Here is a 24,732-nt window from a genome sequence, read left to right on the forward strand (position 1 = left end):
TTAGCTTTCAGAAAATGCTTTAGCATTTTAATGTGAACATTTTTGAAGTTTCTAAGTCAAACAACCAACAAGAGAAGAACTGGCCTTCTCAACAAGAGAAGAGTGTGTACCTCTGCAGAGCAGCTGATGATGGCATGAGCCATCTAAAGCATGCGCAGCACTCTGCTGATAAAGCACCCTTCACACTTAGTCTGCCTTCAGAAGAGAGGAGCATTAGAAGCCCTCCTGCCTCAGTCCAACAGGCCAAGCAAAATGCCAGTGAGTATCAACTGGAAAGTGCCACCTCAGAAGCCTTTAAAATCACATTTAATTATACGATTCACTGCTGCTTCTTTAACATGCACTGAACGAAGTAGTAAATTAGAAAAGAGCAGTTTTCCAAGATTCATTTGCTACATTAAAATTCTTTGGGAGTTGTTTATAAAAAATCTCCATCGCAAGATGATGACTTTTGGAGCTCTAAGGAACATGTAAATAGAGGATGGTAAACTTACCATAGCATCACTATTTTAGGGGCAGAACCAATGGCCTTAATTTTCTGCAAATGTACTTTAAATAAGTTGTAAGGTATTCCATTTATAAAAATGGCTATCAAACCTTAACATACCCTTGAAAAGTGATAAAAGCTCAGCTCTGGGTGACCTAACTGGCAACTAACATCAGTCTATTTTTAAGGCACAATAATCATTTCAACTGGCTAACAAGTAGCAACTTTGGGTTTACTAGGTGGTACTCGGCAGTGATGCTTCCATCAAAGCAAGGAAGATGAGGTCAGTGCACAGTTTGCCTCACCCAAGGAATCCGACCCACTAGGACCTCAAGAACAAAACTAACTTGTATAACTAAGATTAACCCACAATCCACTTCTTTCCCTCATTTTTACTAATGAAAGGCAGGTTTAGAGCTCAGAATAAATATAGGTAACAAGTCTAAGTGACTTGTACTGACTAAAGGTTTTTCGTTGTTGTTGTTGTTTTAAGCAGGGATGAGTTCTCACTATGTTGCCCAGGCTGGTCTCAAACTCCTGGCCTCAAGAGATCCTCCATCTCAGCCTCCCAAAGGGCTGGGATTACAGGTATGAGCCACTGTGCCCACCTGTGACTGAAGTTTGCTCAAAATGATCCACAGAAACTCTTCCAAAGCCCTACACCTTTCATCCCTGAATCGTCTCCTCCAGCTCAAGGTCACCCAGAGAAAGAAACTAAAATGTCATTACTTGGAATTATGTCTCTTCATTACCAAAAAGAAGATCCAACTTATGTTATTTCTGGCCCATTTAATAAATATTTTTTGAAGGTAAAAACATGGTCATTGAAGCAATAATGATTGCCTCTTTTGAGTTGAATATATTTGCAATTTCAGGCCTCTATAAGCCAGTTAGAAATACAGGGAATACATGAAATAACAGAGCTTCTCTGAACATTCTGCAAGATTCCACTTTGCCTCTGTAGAAAATGTGGGTATTATATGTAGATTTTCTGCAAAGTGCTCTGAAAATTCCATAAATCCCATCCTGCAGGGATTTCACTTTTCTGTAGCCTTTCCACCACACTTGTATCCTATCTCCGCTAAATATATGCTGCAATACCAACATTTCCATAGACAAAGCACTGCACACTAATAAAACACAACACTGTTTACATACAGTGCAAATATATAACATATTTTTAGCATAGGTTAGGAGCAATATTTTTAGATGGATGGAGCCTGCAGTGCTATTAGTAACAAACTTCTACTGTAAATTACTGGCCTAAATAGAAATTTATGTTCCATAAAACCCAGCATGAAACAATAAGTTAGAAATATTTAAATAACATTTTACAGAGTGTTAAGCAGCAAGTGCAACTGTGTCAGGCTGAGTTGGTTACTGAAAAGGAGAGTTGGGCACTGTCATAGAAAGGTCCCCAAGCAGCAAGACGATTCCTTGGTCTTTTATATAACTTAAAAAAAATTATATATGAAATCCAGATTTGCCATACTAGTATGTCAAAGGTAGCCTACATGTTGAAAACAAGTAAAAAATAACCAACCAGTCCAGGAATAAAATGTTGCAACTTCTACAGACAAAAGGCCAAATGGCACCTACAGGAGATGGGATTTTGGTTCCTACCTTCATTCGTTTTCTAAAAATACGCTAGGCCTGCAATGTGAAAAGATGAGCTTATATCTAGGTAGGCCTTTCTAAGATCTATAATCCTGCTCAAGTCATAATCAAGCCCACTCTTGCATTACTCACATTTCACAGAACAAAGAATATTTCTATGATTTCTTGGGGGAAAATCAGCTTCCAATTTAAATGTATCTTTGCTCTTCTGCAAAATACCAAGATTTTAAACACTGTATTCAAAATCTAATATTGTAAGCCTGATACTATGGTTGGATCCTGTGAAGTATGTGAAAACACCATGGAAGCTCCTGAAATTTGTAATTTAGATATTTTTCCAAAATAATGGAAGTGAGGATTGGCTGGGGAGGTGAGGAAGGAAGAAAAGGTCCAACTTCTGTTTCTCTTCCAAACAGAACAAGAAGTCTTCAGGGATTCAGTAATAGAGATGACAGAATGCCATGTCTTCAAGTGAAAATAAAATGATAGCTTTCTCTCTTCTATTTATCCATCTGCAATTCAGTAGGACAAATGCAATACTCTTTTTAAAAAATGGGCTCTGGAACCTCAATAAAAAGAAGTGAGTTCTCTGATTCATAAATAATGTCCCCAAATAAGAAATAAACAATAGTTTTGGGTTATGGTTTTGTTTTATTAAGGCAGGAGATTGGTACTGGCATGCTGATTTTTTCCAATGGATTATCCAGTTTTCATCCTTAAATTCCACATGCCTAAAATTGGATTCATTTCTTTCCCAATCTGACTTATCTCTTTGCCTATTTCTGTCAGTGCTATTTTAATTCTACCAACCGTCTACATTAAAGCCCTCATTCATCACTTCTGATTCCTACTCTGCTCTTATCGGTAGAACCAATATGGAAGCTCAGTAAGAGTACAAATCCTAAGTACACTGGGATGGTGTCTCTTATTCACCTTTCATTCATTCTTTCGCCCCTACCATATGACAAAGACAGTGATAGGTACTGGGTAAAAGTGAACAAAACAGTCACAATCCCTGCCTTCATGGAGCTTACAATCTAGTAGAGAAGACATACATTAAATAAAGATATAATAATAAATTGTGATAAGTGCTTGAAAGAAAAATACTTGGTATGGAGGAATTAATTAAGGGGTGATGGTAGTCAAAAAGGCTTCTCTCTGGTAGTAAAAACTGAGCTGAGACTAAAGGGTAAGTATAACATATAAGTAAGCTAGATGAAGACTAGGGGAAGAGTATTCTAGAAAGAAAGGCAATGTGTTGGGAAACCCTAAGATAGGAAAGAGCTTGGCACATTTTAGGAAAATGCACAAAAGGCCAATAAGGCTGGAGTATTTAATAAATGGGCAGTACAGTGGCCTTGTAGACCATATTAAGAAGTTGGGTTTTATCTCATACTTCCATATAATGAGAAGCTTAATGGGTTATGTACATGATCTGATTTATGTCTTAAAAAGAACACTCTAACTGCTGAGTAGAAAATGGAGAGAAGAAAAGATGGAAACAGGAAAACTAGTTATGGGGCTATTGCAGTAGTTCTGGAAAGAGCTGAGGCTGGGCGTGGTAGCTCGTAACTGTAATTCCAGCACATTGGGAGTTGACGTGGGCGGATCAACCGAGGTCAAGAGCTTGAGATCAGCTCGGCTAATATGGTGAAATTCTGTCTCTACTAAAAATAGAAAAATTAGCCAGGCGAGGTGGTACATGCCTATAATCCCAGCTACTCAGGCGGCTGAGACAGGAGAATTGCTGGAACCTGGGAGGCAGAGGTTGCACGAAGCTGAGATGGCACCACTGCACTACAGCCTGGGCAAAAGAGTGAGACTCTGTCTCAAGAAAGAAAAAACAGAACGGAAAAGAAAAGAAGAGAAGAGAAGAGAAAAGAAAAAGGAAAGAGCTGAGAGTAACCTGAACTAATCAAAGCCATCTTCATTCCCAGGGCCTAGCACAGCTCCTGGTTCATACAAATACATGAATCAATAACAGCATCAGTTCTCAAAGCTCTTTTTTTAATAGTATTTCCACTTGTTCCAGCATAGAGATATCCTCCTGTCTCTTTCTTAAACATAATTACATTCATTTCCAGGGCCAAATTTTTAGTCCACATCATGATAAAAAAAATTAGATGATCTCTAATGCCTATAATTTGAAGTTCAAACTCAACTGCCACATTAAACTCCAAATGAAAGTAAAGTATACTTTTAAAAAATCTCAATCAGATAAATAAGCAAAAATTTATATACAAGAATATTCATCAGAGCGTTATTTACAACAGCAAAACAGAAACTATATGTGCTTCAATATAGGAAAAGTCAAATTATGGTACCTCTATATAATGAAACACTATACACCCCTCGAAAATGTTTTCAAGGAACATTTAATAATGTAGGGAAAAGTAAAACAATGTTAAATGAAATAAGCAGAATATAAAACATACATAATATGATCTGAAGTTCAATTTTAAAAAGAATACATACATATACACATGGCCAAAAAGAAGTAAAATGAAGTACTGAATTAGTGGTCTACGGACTATAAGATTATGGGTGATTTTTACCATCTCAATCTTTTTCTATTTTCCAAATTTTCTTCAATAGTAATACTTATATTCTCAGAAAATCTCCTAGTAACAGTTACATTTAAAAGGAAAAAACATCTTCAGCTGGATCCACATTGCTGTCTCCATCTTTGTTCAAATCTGTGGCTGTGTTTCCTACAGCCCAGCTTCCACCATTGCCTGAACATAGCATATTCCTGCTCTGCAGCTATGGGTCTGTGAGGCTTCCCTCAGCATCTCAAAGCCTGCCCTCAACATTTACTACGCAAAGCACTAATCTGACACAACATATGCTGCCTTTAGCTCTCATCTTCTCTGTCCAATTCACTGTTTTCTGGTTTTTTGTCCTTCCCCACAGCACCACGCACAGCATCATCCTATACAGGAATGTAATATTTGTTGACTGCCCAGAATGAACAAGTTATTCCAATATAAGGGCCACAATTTGGTTCTGAGAAGAACAGCATACCCATGATCTCTTGGGTCTCTGCTGTTTTTCAGCCAAAAGCTGCTGCCATACTTCCCAGTTTGAACCACGGACTGATAGGGCAGGGAAGAGAAGTGGAGAGGAGGTCTAGCTCAACCCCTGAAATGAACACTGAGTTCTAAAGGTCCAGAGAGATTCTCTGAGAGTCTCAGAGAATCTGAGCCAGGCCTGGAAACACGATGGCTCTAGATTCAGTGGTCTTATTCCCAGTCTGTTCTATGGCAGCTCCCTCCAAGAGCTCTTCTCCCTAACTCTTCAAAGAATGTAAACTGGCTAATTAAGTCTGGAAATGTCCACTCGATTTCCTGAATGTCCATTTGGCAGGCTGGAAAAAATTAATTTGGGGTTGCCATTGTGTTTTTCACTCTGTATAATTTAACCGTTAAATATCAAAGGTTCACTGAAGTAAATGAAAGTAGTTTTTAAGCTTAACGGTTAGACACTTTAAAAATTGTTTTCAAGGCAGCACAGCACAAAGGCCAGAATCATCTGATCACAAATTCCTCCCAGGGATATAAAATTAAAAGCATAATTCAGTGTACTTGTAAGGCTACATCTTCCCTTCTCACATCCTTGGAATAAATGAATGCAGACCTGAGTGAAGCCAGGGTGCATAACATGTGCTTATGAGCCAGCCTGAAAAGTACACATTTCACAACTCCAGGAAGACATATTAAAGTCACTGATGAATAATTATTCTGATAAAGCTCTAAGATCCTATGAGGTTAGGCTGTGATTTGAGTTGACAGCTTTGCTTATAAACATTGGTTCTAAAAAATACCAATTAATGATTCATTTGAATCCTGCTTTGCTCTGATACTGTCCAAATTCTGGCATTTCATGTCATGTCGTCGTCTTTTACCATATAAACTTCAGTTTTATCAAGGCAAAGACAGTAAAAAATACTTTCAAGTAAAAATAATACAAATAACAAAGGATCTATTTTACTGTTGTGAACTCTGACAATTTCCTCTTTGCATTAAAAAAGATAATAAGTGTCAAACCAGTTATTATAACACATGACAGCTTCAGAATAGAGACAGCGTATCCAGCTTTATATTATTCAGTATAGACACATGGGAAAAGAGCAAACAGTTTTTCTAACAGATTTCTCTGCCTCAATGCCAATATGGCAAATAATCATAGGAAAATGTTATTACTATACCTAATTTTCCCTTGGAGCTTTTAAATAGAAACTTTTGTTAACTGATTTTTAAAATATGCACAGGGAGTGAGGACAGCAACAACACTACATGGGGCCCTGCCAGTGACATTCAGGCTTCAGAGAGGTGACACCTGGGATGGGTGGGGTTCTGAAGATTAATAAGGGCTGAGGACCAGGGGATGCATCACAAAGACAGATGTCTATCCTAAAAGGGAAGAGCTCCTGAAATGGCATGAATTCCACTGAGGGAGAAGTTGGGGAAATGAAATGAGAAAGCTTAATCTGCGCTTTCTTTCTCTAATTACTGGGGATGACAATCAAAATTAGAGGAGAGTAAAGTAATCCAGATGTACAAGGAACAGAAGCAAAATGAAGTAGTTAAAAGACATTTTATTAGAGACTAAGAGCGATTCACTTCAACTAAGTGTTACCTAGTACCTACTATGTGCTAGCTGTAACATCGAAATACAATTGAATAGACAGGGCTTATTTTGTAAGAGCAAACTCTCATCTACAGGACATGCCAGGGGCAGAATCATGCTTACAATAAGATGCTCAGAAGCAAGACTGTCTTTTCCTTTATACCTAAAAAAGCTTGTTTAGCAAACAGAGTTATCTTTATCTGAAATGCTTCTAATCCTGTGCTTTGTATTTATATCCATACCTTTTAGATAAGACCTACTTTATTGCCAATTCTCACATTTTACTGAGCTAACGAGCAGTATCTATATTTGCTGATTTTATTTTCTGTCACCCTAGTGTTATCATAACTTAATGCTATCAGGGAATAGGAAAGAATCAATGCTGATTATAGTTAAGAAAGCGAGGATGAAAGCAATACGAACTGGGGGTATTTGAATTTGTAAAGCCTCTACAGGAGGTCTTCTTATCCTCGAGTCATTTAAGAATTACTCACTTAACTCAAACTGAGCAACGATGCCACGAACACATCAAGTAAAGCCATCAGTGGCTCTGTGGTGAGGCAGCATGGTTTAGTGGAAAGACAATTCACACAAGGTCTTTAGAGTCAGGTGAACCCGTTTTTGAAATCTGGCCCCATCACTTTTTAAAAACGGTGCAACCTCTCTGGGCTTCAATTTCTTCATCTGTAAGAATGAGAATACCCCTGCTGCCACAGGGATGTTATACAGGATTAGGTAAGACAAAAAGCATGTGTGAGTGCCTAAGAGGAAGCAGCATGTGGTCAATACATGCTGTTTCCTCTCTTTTCCCTCAACTGCTTCCTACCAGGAAGGGGGAGGGGGTCAGAAGTTTAAAAATTTTACCACCAGTCTCTGATTACGTGCGTATATATGTGAGGAGAAACATGTGCAAAGGAAGGTTATATATTTCTGAGTACTGGGCTCTCATGAGCTTTGCCACCTTTAAAATATTTTGGTTTTATTTTATTGATTTTGACTATCATATTAGCTTACTCATATATATCATCTGACACATCCATTTACTGGTCTTTTAAGCATCTCTGGGCATGTGGATGCTTGAAAAATAGTTTATTAGTATGATTTGACTATCTCTATCTTGTCTCCTATTTTTTTTAGAGAATTACATGGCCGGCAGTGAGGATGGTGTCAAATCTCATCAGTCATCTACAACCACTTTCTCTGACCCTTTCTGCATCATTGAATTTGACTCCCTTTCTTCCCATACTCTCCTTAGAGGACCTAAGAGGAAATGTGCATGGGCAGACAAAACAGAAAACTAAAGGAGGGAAGATAAGTGGGTTCTTGGCTTCCGGAAGGATTCTGACCTACTTCACTTGCCTTCAAATTCTGTGTGAATTTATTTCAGAAGCTACAGGGAAGAGCTAAGAACTCCTGTTTTCCTTGGAGAAGGGAAGAAACAAATGCCAGATTAAAACTCAGAGGAAACTCTGGAAATTATAAGCGAGGCTGCTACTATATAATGACCAAGTCGCCTTGGTATGTCTTGTGAGCTAAAATTCCATTTCACTTTTATCATATATAAAACCAGGATTATAGCTCCAGGAGGAGCTACAATCTGTGTTCTCTTTGGTCTATCTGAACATCCCAAATAGTATCACAGTCTACCTGAAGAAGTGCTGCTGAAATAGACTGACAATGCTTCAATTATTTTGGCTGCAGGCAAAGACAAAATAAGTCTCAGGAGTTCTCCAAAAGCTCAAAAAGTTCTCTGTAAACTATGCTGTTATCAAATGGAAACTACAAGAACGCGACCAACACCACAGGAGGAGAGATTTCCCTGGGCTTTGCTCTGGCTATGAAAGAGTTTCCAAATATACAATGAAAAGTCAGTGGAACCTGACAGGCGCCCAATGTGGAGCACAGGGGTTCAGACACACAACCCCTCCAGCTCCTCTCCCGACGGCTTCCCACCCACTGAGCACTGGCCAAACCCTGGTTAAGCGAGCACTGACCTTCCTGTTTATCTGATAATCCACACAGTGTAGATGGGAAAAAATTGAAAGATAGAAAGGAGGAAGCATAAAAAAAATCATTTCCTCAATGTTAGTAAAAACATAAATTGGTTACATGACAAACATGAGGTGGTGACTATGTTAATGGTACAATGGCAAAGTTATTACAATCTTTGGAAGAAAAAAAAAATCCCATTTCTTCACAACTTTCCAACATTTTAAAATCCAAGCCCAGGCTTGAATCACTGCTTTATGAGGTAACACTCCCTTTCTGACTGCATCCGTGTGACTGGGCCACCAAGTCCCACTGATGTAGTTGGTATTACTACTGCTCAATCAACACCTCTCAGAACAACAACTTTCACTTCAGAATCCAAGCCTCAAGTTATAGGGGGCACTAAAATCTTTTTTTATTTTTATTTTTATTTTTAAAAGACAGGATCTGGCTCTGTCGCCCAGGCTAGAGTGCAGTGGCGTGATCTCGGCTCACTGCAACCTCCACCTCTCGGGCTCAAGCAATCCCGCTGCCTCAGCCTCCTGAGTAGCTGGGACTACAGGTGTGCACCACCATGCCCAGCTAACTTTTGTATTTTTGGTAGAGAAAGGGTTCCGTCATGTTGCCCAGGCTGGTCTGGAACTCCTGGGCTCAAGCGATCCTCCTGCCTCGGCCTCCCAAGGTGTGGAGATTACAGGCATGAGTCACTATGCCCAGATGAGCACTAAAATCTTTAAATAAACGCTCTTTTCTATAGACTGCTAAGAGAAATAGAAGGGAAAAAAGCAATACAATACTTAAGATTTACTGGAGAAGTACTACTGGGAATTGAGGGGAGAGTGTACTCTTTGGAAACAGATAAACGTAGCTCTGAAACCCTGCCTTGCTCCTTGCTAGCTGCATGATTCTGAGCAAGCTTCTTGATACTCAGCTTCCTCATCCATAAATACGGGGAGCAATGCACTTCCTTTGCAGGGCTCTTGTGGGCTGAGAGACAGCATGCATTCAACACTCAGAGTACCTCTCCTTTGTCGGTGCTCAATAAACAGTAGCTCATCTCTGCCATTCCTGGAGTTAAGGCAGAAGACCCACAGTACAGCACTCTGCTTAGGAGCTCTTATGAAAGTGTAGGTCAGATTGGTGCAAGTCCTGTCAAATGGGCATTGGTGGGTTACACAATCTGCTTTTAGCCTCTCATTTAAATTAAGCATGGGCCAGAACATCAAACTCTTTTCAAGAAATCAGTGCTGTAACTGGGACCCTGAGACTACCTCCATGCAAAGTAGTATATAAGTAAAAAGCTCTAATTTTGCTTGTAGCTCAGCTATAGAACACGCCAAAACCCCCCACCAAACCCACTGTTCTAAGTAATGGAAGTGTACTCTGAGAACCATCTGAAAAGAAGCCTGACAACTTGCCTGTCTTATTCCCCACCTGACCTCAATCTTTCTTCCTCTGAGTGGATGATTCCAGTGCCAGTTTTAGATCCAGTGCCTACCCAAGATTTGGCGCTTCCCAAACAGACTGTAGTGTTGGTAGACAGCATATAGCCATCACACAGGCTGACACTAAGAGATAGTGGGTATGAATGTGCGCTCTGTGCAAAATCCTCATGGGGAAGGAAGGCAACACCTGGGTACCTTTGGCAATGTAAAAATTCCCTTCTTTTAAAAATGCTCTTTAAACAAAGAGCTTTATATCTAGACTCAAAAATGCCTTTCCATCAGTATCAGCTTCTCCCAGGTAAAAGGAAGTGAAGACAGAAACAATGGAAATCCCATTGAGTAGGGAGAGGCAAAACAGAAAGGTTTATTCTAACGTGAGAGGAGCCCATGATGATGTGAAAGGGAAAGAAGAGAGAAGAATGGCATATAACCTGGAAGATTCAAGTACATTCACAGATAGATACTTTCCCAAGGTGTGCAGGAATCTAGCCCTTCTTCAAGGAGACAACCATAGCATCATATAATTCAAATTAATTCCTTTCTGAATGAGAGCTGAGTAACAAAGACAAAACTTGGCAAGATGGCACAGCACAGTGAGTGCAAAATTGTATTCCCAGTTGATACTTGGTGAGATGTTAGGTTGTCAGCTTAATGTAAAATAAAATGAGGCCGCACATCGTAAAGTGTTTTGAAAAGTAAAAATCCAAGGGAGATAGGAAGGCAGCATTTTAATGAGTCTAGAGAAAATGAATTCCAGGGTGAGCAGCTCTGCTCACGACCTCTTTTCAGTTGGTATCCCATAGGCCTCTGGGAAGCGGGGCACATGAGGGAGGGGCCAGTGCCTGCCTCCACACTACCCCCTCTCCCCTAATGAGGCTGGCAGCACCATTTGCTAGCACCTGGCAGATGAGAGAGAAAGAAAACCTGGTGTGGAGACCCCCATCCATTAAAGGCAAGAGAGTGAAAAGTGGGAGAGAAAGCTCCCAAGTTCAACAGCAGTGACCTAGGGTCATGCAGTGAGGACTTACAAAGGTATAAAAGCTTCTTTATTCAGGTGGTTCCTTTCAGCGCAACTTATTTGATGATGCTTAATGCAGGCAGTTAAAAGAACAGTTCAGTTGGATATAACTTACAGTACGTCACACAAATCTGGAGTGCCCAAGGAACATTAGTTTCAGGGAACACACTGAGATTATAACCAGCCTTTTTGCCAGGGGCAGCTTGTAACTCAGAAAGTCATGTTTCATTTAGGATGTGCTGTATAATGTTGAAGGGGAAAGTAACTATTTTGTTTTGTTGTGTTTCTTCCCAGTCCAAGAAGAAAGCATTTGGAGAAGTGCTACACATGCTCAACTGAACTTCCTGTCAAATTGTTCTCACTCGTTTGGGCACAAGTCTGCTTAAGCCATCTCTCATTAACATTTACTCTTGCCCGAAGCCCTCTACGCCCCCAACCCCTGCTAATCTTCCACAAGCAAGCTGATCACACTGGGATCTCCTTTTCCCAGACACGTTTGATTCTCACTTTCTCCTGAACCTAGAAATGTGCTTCCCACCAAAGCATGCCAGGCACTAACTCGTCCCTACTGAAAGGGGCTGTTAAAAGCTCATCTTCTTTCCAGATGGTAGTGAGGTGTGAGGTGATCCTTTCTCTTTCTTTTTTTTTTTTTTTTACTTTTAGCTACCCCTCAATTCTGGTGTTCAGTAACAATGTATTCCACTTAAAAGAGAGAAATCATATTAATTATTCTAAGATATAAACACTTAATTTTATTCATGCTCTTGAATTACTTTCCTTTCTACCGCATGTTTGTGTAGCTGTTATATGAGTCCTTTCTACTGATGTAGCTGTCATTCCTTCAACTCAGTTCTTGCCAAACACTGAGCTATGTCTGGAGATACAAAGATAACTACTCTTGTTGAAGAGATGCCAGTTTAGTGGGGGAGACAGACATGTAAACAGATCTGTATCTGAGATAGATGGCCTGGGTAGGAAAAGAATATATATAGCACAAATAACTCAGTGGACCTGCAAAAACAGAGCTTGAGGCCATGATATACCACAAAGACCCACCAAGGCACAAGCACTGTCAACATGAAGGTAAGGCTTCCATTTTTGCCTCTTTCAATCTGGGTACATCTATTCTACATACTCTGCCTTTCCTCCTGTTACAGGAAAAGAAGGAACCTCAATTCTACCTAAAGTCAATCTTCTCCTTGAGCTAGAGATCCAGCCCCTCTCCCATAATGAGGTACACGGCCCCTACAAAGATCCACTCTCCTGCATTATCAAATCCTCCCTCCCTGTGGTATCATTCCAGTCCACACACACACATACCTTAACATCATCCTCCCTTGACCCTAGGTCCCCCTCCATCCTCTTCATCATTTCTCTGCTTCCCCTCCCAGTGATACTTTATCTTCTACATGTATTGCTACCCCTATTCCCTCAGCCTCTATTCCCTTCTCCCTTGACTCCACTGAAATGGCTCTTAAAGGACGCCACTAAGCTCTATCTTGCTACAACCAGGAGTCGATTTTCTGTTACCTACTGCCCTCTCCCATCTCCCCTCCTCATACCGAAAGACTGACTTTTTAAGACTTCCATGAAAATGTTGTCCTTGTTTTCTTCCTGCCTCACTGGCAGCTCCTTCCCAGTCTCTTGTATTCACTTTTCCTTGCCCACCTGCTGTCTGGTCTTCCCTATAGTCCATTCTCACACTAGATCACACTAGAGTTATCTTTCAAAAATCTCAACTACCATCACCTGGTTTAAACCCTTCTATGGTTTCCCATCATCCTTAGAATTCGACACTATCAAGTCCCTGTAGGACATGGCTCCTGTCTATCTGTCTGCCCTCATTGCTAAACATACCTTCCTCCCAACACCCTACAGACTATCTACCCACCAGATTTCAGAAACACATGGCCTTCTTTCTGTTCCTCAAAAACCCCAAGCTAGTTTCTACTTCACAGCCTTTACTCTTGCTGTTCCCTAGCCTGGAACACTTCTCCCTTAGATTGCTGCATAGCCAAGCCAACTTCTTGTAATTCAAGTTTTGGCTCAACTCACTTCCTCAGAAAGGCCTTCCCTGACCGTTCTGCTCAAGTGCTCCTTCCCCAAACTCAACCACTGGCTAGCTTATTCCCCCATTCCAATTTTGTCAAACTATGACTAGTCAGTATCACATTTATTTCTTTACATCTCATTTTTCTCTCTCTCCTACTACAATGTAAACTGCGTTAAGCAACAACTTAATCTCGTTTACTGCTATATGTCTACTTCCAGGCACAGTGTTTAGTATATTGTGGGTGCTCCGTAAACATTTTACTCAATGGATAAATGAAATGACGATGAAATCCTTGTTTAGAATCCTGTGTTCAGCTCTTTGCTCTTCAACTGTAGACATGCACAGAAGCATAAAGGTGAGACATAATAACTAGTGCACAGGGAAATCAGACCTATGAAACTAGAACTAGAATTACTAAGGAAGTGTTATATTTTTATTCTTCAGGGGTAATCATTAGTTGTTTTTTAAATGTCTAATGAGGATTAAATAAAAAGAAATGGATTAAAGGTTCAGCAGATGGGCAAAAGTTCTAGAGTAGATAAAATGTGGGTTAGATTTATAAAAACACTTCCTGGGACTGACTACTATTTGAGATTATAATCAGTTCCTGAAGAAGAATACTGGATATCTTTTTAAAACAAAAAGAGATAACAGTAATCCTTTATCAACTGAGTGCTTCCTTTGTACCAAGACCTCTGCTAAGGCTGTTTTACAAGCCTGATCTCCTTTGACATTTGTAGCAACCCTATGAGACAGGTACAGGGATAGCTGGGAGATGTCATGGGTTCAGTTTATGACCACACAATAAAGCAAGCCACACAAATCTTTTGGTTTCTCAGTGCATATAAAAATTACGTTTACACTGTATGGTAGCCTATTAAGTGTGCAACAGCATTATGTCCAAAAAAAGTACAGATTATTAATTAAAACATACTTTATTGCTAAAAAATGTTAACAATCATCTGAGTCTCAAGTGAGTCATAACCTTTTTGCTGGTGGAGGATCACGCCTCAATGTTGATAGCTGCTGACTGATCAGGGTGGTGGTTGCTGAAGGCTGGGGTGGCTGTGACAATTTCTTAAAGTAAGACAATGATGAAGTCTGCTGCATCTATTGACTCTTCTTTCATGAAAGATTTATCTGTAGCATACGATGCTGTTTGACAGCATTTTTACCAATAGTAGACCTTCTTTCAAAATTGAGGTCAATCCTCTCAAACCCTACTACTGCTTTATCAACTAAGTTTGTGTGACAGCCTAAATCTTTTGTTCTAGAATCTACCATTTCAACAATATTCACTGCATCTTCACCAGGAGTAGATTCTATCTCAAGAATTCTATCTTCACTTTCTTTGCTCATCCATAAGAAGCAACTCCTCAACCATTAAAGTTTGCAGCAATCCAGTCATATCTTCAGACTACACTTACTGCTGTTAATATTTTGACCACCTCTCACGAATCACAAATATTCTTAATGGCCTCTAAATGGTGAATACTTTCCAGAAGGCTTTCAATTTGCTTTGCCCAGATCAGAGGAATCAAAAGAATTTGCCATCAAAGGAATCACTATCTATAGCTATAAGCTATAGCCTTACAAAATGTATTTCGTAAATAAGACTGGAAAGTTAACATGATTCCTTGATCCACGGGCTGCAGAATGGATGTTGTGTTAACAGGCATGAAAACAACATTCATCTCCTTGTACAGCTCCATCATAGCTCGTGGGTGACCAGGTACATGGTCAATGAGCAGGAATATTTTGAGAGGAGCTGTTTTGTCTCAGCAGTAGGTGTCAGCTGTGGGCTTAAGATATTCAGGAAACCATGCTGTAAACAGATGTGCAGTCATCCAGGCTTTGTTGTTCCATCTACAGAGCACAGGCAGAGTAGATTTAGCATAACTCTTAGGGCCCTAGGATTTTCAAAGTGATAAATGAGCACTGGCCTCACCCTAAAGTTACCAGCTACATTAGCCCCTAACAAGAGAATCAGAAATGTCCTTTGAAGCTTTAAAGCCAGGCAGTGACTTCTCCTCTCCAGCTATTAAAGTCCTGGGTGGCATCTTCTTCCAATAGGAGGCTATTTCATCTATCTTGAAAATCTGCTGCTTAGTGTAGCCACCTTCGTCAATGATCTTAGCTAGGTCTTCTGGGTAACTTGCTGCAGCTTCTACACAAGCAGCTGCTGCTTCTTCTTGCATTTTTATGTTATGGAGATGGCTTCTGTTCTTCATCTTATGAATCAACCTCTGCTAGCTCCAAGATGAATCAACCTCTGCTAGCTCTAAGCTTTTGTTTTGCACCTTCCGCACCTCTCTCAGCCTTCACAGAATTGAAGAGTTAGGGCCTTGCTCCGAATCAGGCTTTGGCTTTAGGGAATGTTGTGGCTGGTTTGGTCTTCTATCCATACCCACTCAAACTTTCTCCATATCAGCAATGGCTGCTTTGCTTTCTTATCATTCCTGTGTTCACTGGAGTGCTTGGACTTTCCTTCAAGAACTTTTCCTTTGCATTCACAACTTGGCAAACTGTCTTAAGAGGCTTAGCTTTCAGCCTATCTCAGCTTTCAACATGCCTTCTTCACTAAGCTTAATCATTTCTAGCTTTTGATTTAAAGTGAGAGAGATGTGGCTCTTCCTTTCACTTCAACACTTAAAGAGACTACTGTAGGGTTATTAACTGGCCTAATTTCAATATTGTATCTCAGGGAATAGGGAGATTGGAGGACAGGGAGAGATGGGGGAACAACCAGTCAGTGGAGCAGTCAGAATACACACATTTATCTATTAAATTCTGTCTTCTATGGGTGTGGTTTGTGATGTTCCAAAACAATTACAATAGTAACATCAAAAATCATCGATTACAGATCACTACAATAGATATAATAATAATGAAAAGTTTTGAAATATTGTGAGAATTACCAAAATGTGACATAGGCACACAAGTAAGCACATGCTGCTGGAAAAATAGGGCCAAAACACTTGTTGAACACGGAGTTGCCATAACCTTCAGTTGGTAAAAACAAAACAAAATACCACAGTATCTGCAAAGTGTAACAAAAAGGGGTATGCTTGTAGCACTATTCTCATTTTAACTTGAAATGGTCAGATAGTTGGTAAATGACCAAGCTGGGACTGAATTCGGTCCATTTAACTCTAAAATCTGTGCTTAACACTTATGTTTACAAGAGAGAGTTGAGATGGGCCCTGCTGAGAGCATGAGAGTTAACTACTTGAATCTGTACCCAAATCTAGGATTCTAACATATTTTCAGGAACAGCACAAAGGACACAATATAAAGAACAATTTAAAATAGTCCTGTGTAAGGTAGATTCCATCTTTGAGCTTTTGGTTATAAAGACATTTGAAGAACTAGACAAAATTATGTGCTTGTGGTTATCCATTATATAAATTATCTCCTGTCATTCTGAAGGATTATTTTATTTATAATCTGAAGACCTACCTTAGGAGGGGGTGGGCTGGGTGTGGTAGCTCATGCCTGTAATCCCAGCACTTTGGGAGACCGAGGAGGGCAGATCACTTGAATTCAGGAGTTCAAGACAAGCTTGAGCAATGTGGGGAAACCCCAGCTCTACAAAAAATACAAAAATTAGCTGGGCATGGTGGCACATGCCTGTAATCCCAGCGACTCTGAAGGCTGAGGTGGGAGGATCACCTGAGTCCAGGGAGGTCGAGGCTGCAGTGAGCTGAGATCACGCCACTGCATTCCAGCCTGGGTGACAGAGCGAGAGAGACAGAGAGAGAGTCAGCGAGAGAGAGAGAGAGAGAGAGAGAGAGAGAGAAGGAAGGAAAGAAAGAGGAAAGGAAAGGAAAGGAGGAAAAGAGAAGAAAAGAGAAGAAAGGAAAAGAAAAGAAAAGAAAAAAGAAAGGTGGAGGGGAATCGAGTTTGCAAGTATCACCAGGTATGACTAAAACAATTTCTTGCTCCTTTAAGGTTTTGAACAGAGATCAGCAAACTATGGCCTGCGAGCCAAAAATAAATTTTATATTTTTAAAGTATTGTTTAGAAAAAGAATAATTTGTAACAGAGACTTTATGTTGCCCACAAGGCCTGAAATTTTTATTATCTGGTCCTTTACCAAAAACATTTGTTGACCTCTGCTCTAGATCTTAAAAATGGGTGCACAAAGTATGAAATAGGTGTAATAGAGAATAAAGTCCCTAGTTAGAAAAAGCAATTCCCTAAAGGTTGTTTTTTTTGAGACAAGGGATCAAGCCATCCTCCCACTTCGGCCTCCCAAGTAGCTGGGACTACAGGTGCATGCCATCACCTCTGGCTAATTTTTAAATTTTTTGTAGAGACAGTGTCTTGCTGTGTTGCTGGTCTTAACCTCCTGGCTTCAAGCTATCCTCCCACTTCGGCCCCCCAAAAGTGTAAGCCACCATGCCCAGCCCCTACAGGTTTAAGTGTCCAAGGGATTTTTTTTTTAATATCAACAACAAAGATTCCCAGAGTCAGATTTTCAAATGGATCTAGCCTCCCAACTTAGCATCAATGAGATGATATTAGGGGACAAAAAAAGAAAAAGAAGATGCTGAGAAGCTTGGGGAAGAATCAGAATTATCCAGGTTTAGAGCTGCAAGGAACCGTATAGAAACTATGGACCAACGTTCTCTAGCTCCGTAAATGAAGAAACACCCAGGGACGAGGCAGTGACTTCAGGCTGCGATGTGTCGGCATAGCACAGTCCTGTCTCCGGGCTCCTAGGCCACGTCTATTCTCACTGTGCCATGAGGCCTTTACCTTATTACAGAGACATGCTCTGCAAACCAAGGTGTGGTGGACAGCTTTTTAAAACGTCAGACGAAAACCAGCAGCTCTGCAAAGAATGTGTGATCTGAAGGTGAAGTCTCAACCCATTTTGTTAAGAAAAATTAATGTTTCTTTTTTTATAATGCTTTTTTGAATTTCAAAAGTGGTACACATTCATTATAGAATTTTCATTAAGAAAATTATTTTTCAATAAGGAAATTCAAAAAAAGAGAATAATTATTCATAATCTCTCCATCCAATAATAAAATATTTTCAACATTTTATTATTTCCTTGCAACTTTTTTTTTTTTTTTTGAGACAGAATCTCACTCTGTCATCATCCAGGCTGGAGTACAGTGGCATGATCAGGGCTCACTGTAGCCTCGACCTCCCAGGCTCACGGGATCCTCCTGCTTCAGCTTCCCAAGTAGCTGGGACTACAGGCATGCTTCACTATGCTTGGTTAATTTTTGTATGTTTTGTAGAGATAGGGTTTCACCATGTTGTCCAGGCTGGTCTTGAATTCCTGGGCTCAAGTGATCCACCTGCCTTGGCTTCCTGAAGTGATGGGATTATAGGCGTGAACAACTGTGCCTGGCCCTTACAGCTTTTTTAAAAATGCAGATACACATATGCCATTTGAAAAATTAGAATATTCCCAGAAGTTTGAGACCAGCCTGGGAAACATAGCAAGACCCCATCTCTACAAAAAAATTTAAAAATTAGTTGAGCATGGTGGCACATGCCTGTAGCCCCAGCTACTAGGGAAGCTCAGGTGGGAGGATCACTTGAGCCCAGGAGTTCAAAGTTGCAATAAGCTATGATTGTGCCACTGCACTCCAGCCTGGGTGACAAGAGTGAGAAGACCCTGTCTCAAAAATAAATAAATAAGTAAATAATTACAGTATTTTTTTTCACTTAATGTCAGCATTTTTGTGTCACGTAAATTTTCCTAAAACCTTTTAACATTATACAATTCCATTGTGTGTATGTATAATAATTTCTGTAACTTCTAGGACGGACCAGCTTATAGAAAGAATGTTTTACCTCGCCCTCACCAACAGTGATTATGAGCATTATTCAAAATATTTTTCCATTTGATAAGCATGAAATGGTTTCTCTTTGTTTCACACTGACGTTGATCCTTTCTTCACATGGCATTTATTTATATGCCATCTTTTGTGAATTGTCTATTCCCAATGTCACACGTCCTATTCCCATTTTTCTTCTGAGGTATTCATCTTCTTTTTGATGATAAGAGCCAAACAGAAAAGATTTTAACCTTTTCTTCTATCACAAATATTGTATGTTTCCCACTTTTCCATTTGCCTTTTAATTTTGTCTTTTTAATTTGTTGTTGTTTTAATCTTGAAATGTAGCATTTCCAGCTAGTCAAATCCTCTGCATTTGTCCTTTGTAATGCCATATAAGGGATGATCTACCGAAGCTGGCTAATGACCTATTAGTTTCTAAAAAGCAGCCAGTGTAAGTCCCCCAAATCTGCACAGCCTGCAGAGGTTCCACTCAGTGTTGGCCAGATGGAAGGAATGTGGAGTAGAAACGCTACCAGATGGACTATGAGTCAGGAGGCCCAGATGCTTGTCCTGGGTTTGCTGCTTGCTTGCTGCAAGTCCTTAGGCAAATCTCCCATTCTCTCTGGGTACCATAACCCTCTGTCAACAAAATGAAAGGTATGGACACTACACTCTCAAAAGACACATCCATTTCTTTTTTCTTTTTTTTGAGACAGAGTTTTGCTCTGTTGCCCAGGCTGGAGTGCAGTGGCGCAATCTCGGCTCACTGCAACCTCCGCCTCCCAGGTTCAAGAGATTCTCCTGCCTCAGTCTCCCGAGTAGCTGGGATTACAGGTGTGCACCACCAGGCCTGGCTAATTTTTGTATTTTTAGTAGAGACCAGGTTTCCCACGTTGGCCAGGCTGATCTCGAACTCCTGACCTCAGGTGATCCACCCGCCTCAGCCTCCCAAAGTGCTGGGATTACAGGTGTGAGTCACTGTGCCCGGCCGACACATCCAGTTCTAATGCTCATTCTTATTTGACATGTGAAAGAAGGGAAGTCAGTGCTAGATGTTCCAGGCTAGTCAGAATCCACAACCCCAGAGAGACCTGTCAGTGAGAAGAGGGAAGAAGGTGAGAGATGGTAAAAACGAATGTCTGACAGGAGAAAACTTGCAGCCCTTTTGACATGTGGCTTATAGAATTTATTTCAAGTAAATCAGCATGATCTGGAAAGTCAAAGGCAGCAGAGAACCAAAACTGAAAAAGGGCTTACTTCTAGTGCATAGATTTTTCCCAGAAAAGGCACCAGGTAATCTGACTGTGACTTCCTCTAAGCCAGTTGGGGGATTATAAATGTTGGATATGGGCATAAAAGCCAGAATAAAAAGATCCAAAAGGGATGTGGATGACAAAAGTGGTACAAGTTTTGATGTAAAAGGGAAAAGCTGTTCATGAGGGTCATCATGTTGAGAGAGATCTCTTTGAGGGCTGGTATAGATCAGATCATAAAAACAAAAGGGACAAAAGACAACGAAACTCAAGCATAGGAGAAGAAATGGTCTCAAGACAGTTTGGCAGGTTTGTAGTACAGATGAAAGTGATGTCCTCTGTCCCGTGGAAATACCCGCAAACACAATATCGTGAAATAAGAATATGTGCTTTGAAGTATTAAGGTGCTGGCAAGAAAGGCAAGGTGTTAGTTACATAATAGTGGCATTGTGTTGTGGGTGCCACCAACAAAGCCCTGAGTCCAGGTGACACAGGGTCATGAGAAATCACATTAATGAGCTAAAGTCCTTACCTACCATTGCTAACTAACTAGTATTTTATTTATGTGTATTTAACAATTATTTTTTCTTGCATAAATTAAGTAATAACACCTGTTTTCTTCACTTTATTGCTACTTTAGTAGTTATTTATCCTTTCCATTTTATTTTAGCACTGATTAAAACATAAAATGTCTTTAGGAAATGTTATGTCCTAATTTATGGTTTATTTTAATCTTAGCAGTCAAACACTGATGACATTGCATCTCTTTAAAAAATTAGCCTATTATCACACACCAATAAATACATTCTTTAAAAAAAAAATCTCATTCTCAAATGAGAAGAAACCACAAAGCAATGAGGCAATGAAGGAAGAAAAACAAATCCTGAGTCTTTCACCTGGCCCAACAGGGTGTATTAAGAGTAATTATGGAGTGTATTAAGAATCATTAAAGTAATATTTCCTTGGGTTTCTGTGATGAAGGATGGCTCATCTGTTCACTTCCAATACTTAATTTTTTCAAGCTTGCTGTCTTTCATGTAAATAAAAAGGAAAGAGTAACTTTCCTTTTCCAAAAAACACAGAAGGGCAAAAACTACACTACAAATAGCTTTTACCCTCAGGCTCAAAGTTCTCAATAAATTAAATCTCCATTATTGTTTACTCTGTTGTGGATACAACTGAAAAAAGATTAACCGGGTCCCACTTTAGAGATGAGAAAATGGGCCCACAGAAACAGCCTAAATCAATCTATAATACACAAAGAAACAAAGGCCAGCCTTTCCATCCAAAGGCCTCTCCTGGGATCTCGGTTCACAGTCTCCATTCAGGGTTCAACAGCACCCCTTCAGGACTGCACCCTAAGTTTTTAAAGGAGGGAGATGTGCAGGAAGGAACACTGACCAGGAGCAGGTAACTGAAGCTCAGCCCTAGCTTTAGCCCATGCTATTTCTATGATCTTGGGAAAGTAATTTTCATCTTCCTATGGCCCCATTTCCTTCAATATAAAATGGAGATAATATTTACACCTACTGCCTCAGTGTTTATAAAGTTCAAATGGAGGAAAGGGCTCTTTTCAAAATACAGGCCACCTGTGTTATTTATGAATTTAAAATAGAAGAATAAAGCAACTAAAATAATGATTTTTAAACTTACATCATCCTCTCATTCATGAATTTCATAAACTCATCTCCTTAAAGTGCTACATGGCATACATGTAAGAATAAACATAATTTTTTATTTCAATTATTTGTTTTAATCAACTAAGAGAACTATTTTGTGTGTATGTATAATATTGACATTTTATGGTAAGGAAAATTATAATGTGGCACAAATAGCATATCAATTCTTTTCTTAAAGTGTTGATAAACCAAAAAACTGTCAATATGCTAATAATAAAGTTGCATTTTGCTCTAAATTAAATGTACACTTTCGATTTAAGATTTTATTCACAAAATAAACAGTACCACTGCATAAAAAAATTACATGATGATATAAAATACTATGTGAAGGAGTTGGCAAATTATGTTTATAGCTGTTCTTTAAACCTAGACAATTCTAATCTAGAATTCGATCTAAAAATAAGATACTTCTGCATTTTTAACCCTTAAAAAATTGTCCATTCAATACTACTCATTAAAGCAAAAAAGAAAAAAATTTTTCAACTTACATACAAAAATTCCATGAGTTTTAAAATAATAAGAAAGTGTGCTATAACCTACCGATTACTTTGAATAAAGGATATTTATCAACAATTACACTGGGTAAAAACGTTCCTTTCTCTGAAACCCTGGAGGAGCAATGTTTAATGAGAAAGAATTATTTATGCCTACAAACACAGAACTGTAATAGGTAGTTTTAATGTAACACATCACAGCAGTAGATGCAGGCGGCCAGAAACGTGTTACCTGGTTTTGACTTATACCCAATTTCCAAGACCAGACTAAGACTTTGTAAACAGCAGGGGCTTTTAGTTTTGTTTTTCCTTATTATTGATAGTGGATGGCAACAATATTTGTGCTGACGGGGTCTTTGGGAGGAATACTGAGGTTCTCCCTTTTCCTGAGGAAAATGAGGTCTCACTCATCTCCTATTTGCCAGGACTAGTGATCTCAGCACATGCTTTGTTCTTTTTTCTCTCTGTTTAAGTGCTGGTAGTAATTTAGTGATTTCAATCATTGCTACATTCATTTTGGAATAATAAAGTGATGTTAGGAGATTCCTGTCATTGCGAAGACAGGTTTTAGGAGGAAAAGGATCTATAGTTAGTCAGTTTTGCTACCAAGAGTAGCCTTTGGTACACTGAAATCAAATTAACTACAAAAACATCAGGGATACGTGTGGGGATGGAGCTAGCTGTGGGGAGATGAGCACTGAACCCAAACCAGTCTGGGCCAGAGGAAAACTCTACAGTCTCATCATGCAACAAAACAGGGAAATTGGTTTTAGCGTTTTTAACTTTAATTAGTCACATTAATTAATGCTAAAAACCAATGTTAACAGTATATTATTTTCATCTAGTTAAATAAAGGATTACACACATTTGAGTAAATTACACAGCATTAAACATTTCGATAACTTGAAATGAAGCCATTACTGTCATTCAAACAAGTTTCCACAGCTAAAGGCTGAATGTTAAGTATGAACTGATTTGGCATTACAAGAATATAAATCCTTTATCTTTTTACTGAGAAGAAAAAATGAAGAGATTCGATGACTTCTGACTTGAATAAGTGGTTTGCAGTAGCACAGCGCCCTCCAGTGGCCAAATTTCAAAATGCAGTTTCAAAGGACAAAGTTCAGTAGCAAATCTTTTCATGTTGAATGGTGTTAAGCTGGTAACATTAGCTCCTTTTTCTTTTCTCTTTTAATATAATTGTTTATCTCAGCACATATTTTCAATATCAAACCATTTTTCTATTGCCAAATTTCCCTCACCAAATTAAAATTCTTCTATTCAAATCTGATTTGTTTTCCCTCAGAAATATTCTGAAAAGTAAAAAAGAAATCAAAGCGAAACAAAACAAACCTAATGTGGACACAGACAACTGCAATGAGAGGGAATTCTCTATACGCCTCAGATAATGGCGAATGCCAGCACTAGAGTAGTAGTAATGAATTCTTAAGTGTTAAAATCCAAACTCCAGAGTAAGATTATACAAATTATGGAACTCTATTTTGCCTGATATACATCATGATGAGTACATATGGTGAGTTCAAAGTTGTAAGCATATCTTTTACTCATTTTTTCTATATGTGAACATTTCTGTTTTTAAATAACAGTATAAAAGATTTCACTGTATGCACATTCTTTCACTATTACAACTCCTATTAAAATGGATCCAAATATTTTTCTGTGGAAGTAGGAAAAGATAACCCTTTGGTTACCTTTGCAGATTACCAGAAAAGCTCCCTTAGGCCAATCTAAAATACTCCTATTCTTGAAAAGACATTGATTTCTCACAATGAAAAGAGATCATAATTCCACTTTTAATAACTACTGCCATAGAGTAAACACTTATAATATTCTTGGTCTGCCAAATAAATACTGCAAGGCATCTGGGGGCATACAAGCATTGCCCCGGATCCTATACCAAATAGTTACTAGGTAGCATGAGGGAGTTTGCTATCAAAAGGATAATAATAACTAGCTATTTTTTCCCTTTTCTGCCTACCCAAAGAATAGAAAAGTTTAAGCATGTTTTAAAGAATCATACCTTTCACCGAAACCGACAAAGCAACTCTATATAATGTCAAGAACAATGGCTGTGGCCTTGCATCTTGTTTCCACCGCTACAGATCAAAACAGGCAAATAACATCTCTGTGTTTCGTTTCTTCATCTATGAAATGAAGATAATTGTTCCCATCTCATGGGAATGTGGTGAGGATTCATTGTAATGATGCAAATGAAATAACTAAGCCTGACTGCCTGAAACTCA

General features: G+C 39.2%; 1 protein-coding gene and 1 long non-coding RNA gene across 9 annotated transcripts in view, besides 1 other annotated feature; one reads left to right on the top strand and one right to left on the bottom strand.

The window, feature by feature from the left end:
• Positions 1-24,732, bottom strand: part of BTBD9 (BTB domain containing 9) — a 471,479-nt gene that overhangs the window by 302,137 nt on the left and 144,610 nt on the right. The gene's annotated exons all lie outside the window — the stretch shown is intronic.
• Positions 6,799-7,322: an enhancer, noted in NCBI's record as "OCT4-NANOG-H3K27ac hESC enhancer chr6:38445162-38445685 (GRCh37/hg19 assembly coordinates)". NCBI's record gives its function as "activates a minimal SCP1, AML or CMV promoter by ChIP-STARR-seq in primed H9 embryonic stem cells {active_cell/tissue: H9 hESC(primed)}" and the evidence as "EXISTENCE:reporter gene assay evidence [ECO:0000049][PMID:30033119]".
• Positions 11,009-11,940, top strand: BTBD9-AS1 (BTBD9 antisense RNA 1). Its single transcript, NR_144472.1, has 2 exons — positions 11,009-11,199; positions 11,480-11,940. It is a non-coding gene; the product is annotated as a BTBD9 antisense RNA 1 (long non-coding RNA).

This window comes from Homo sapiens, chromosome 6, assembly GCF_000001405.40.
Source record: "Homo sapiens chromosome 6, GRCh38.p14 Primary Assembly".
In the NCBI taxonomy this organism is placed as follows: domain Eukaryota; kingdom Metazoa; phylum Chordata; class Mammalia; order Primates; family Hominidae; genus Homo; species Homo sapiens.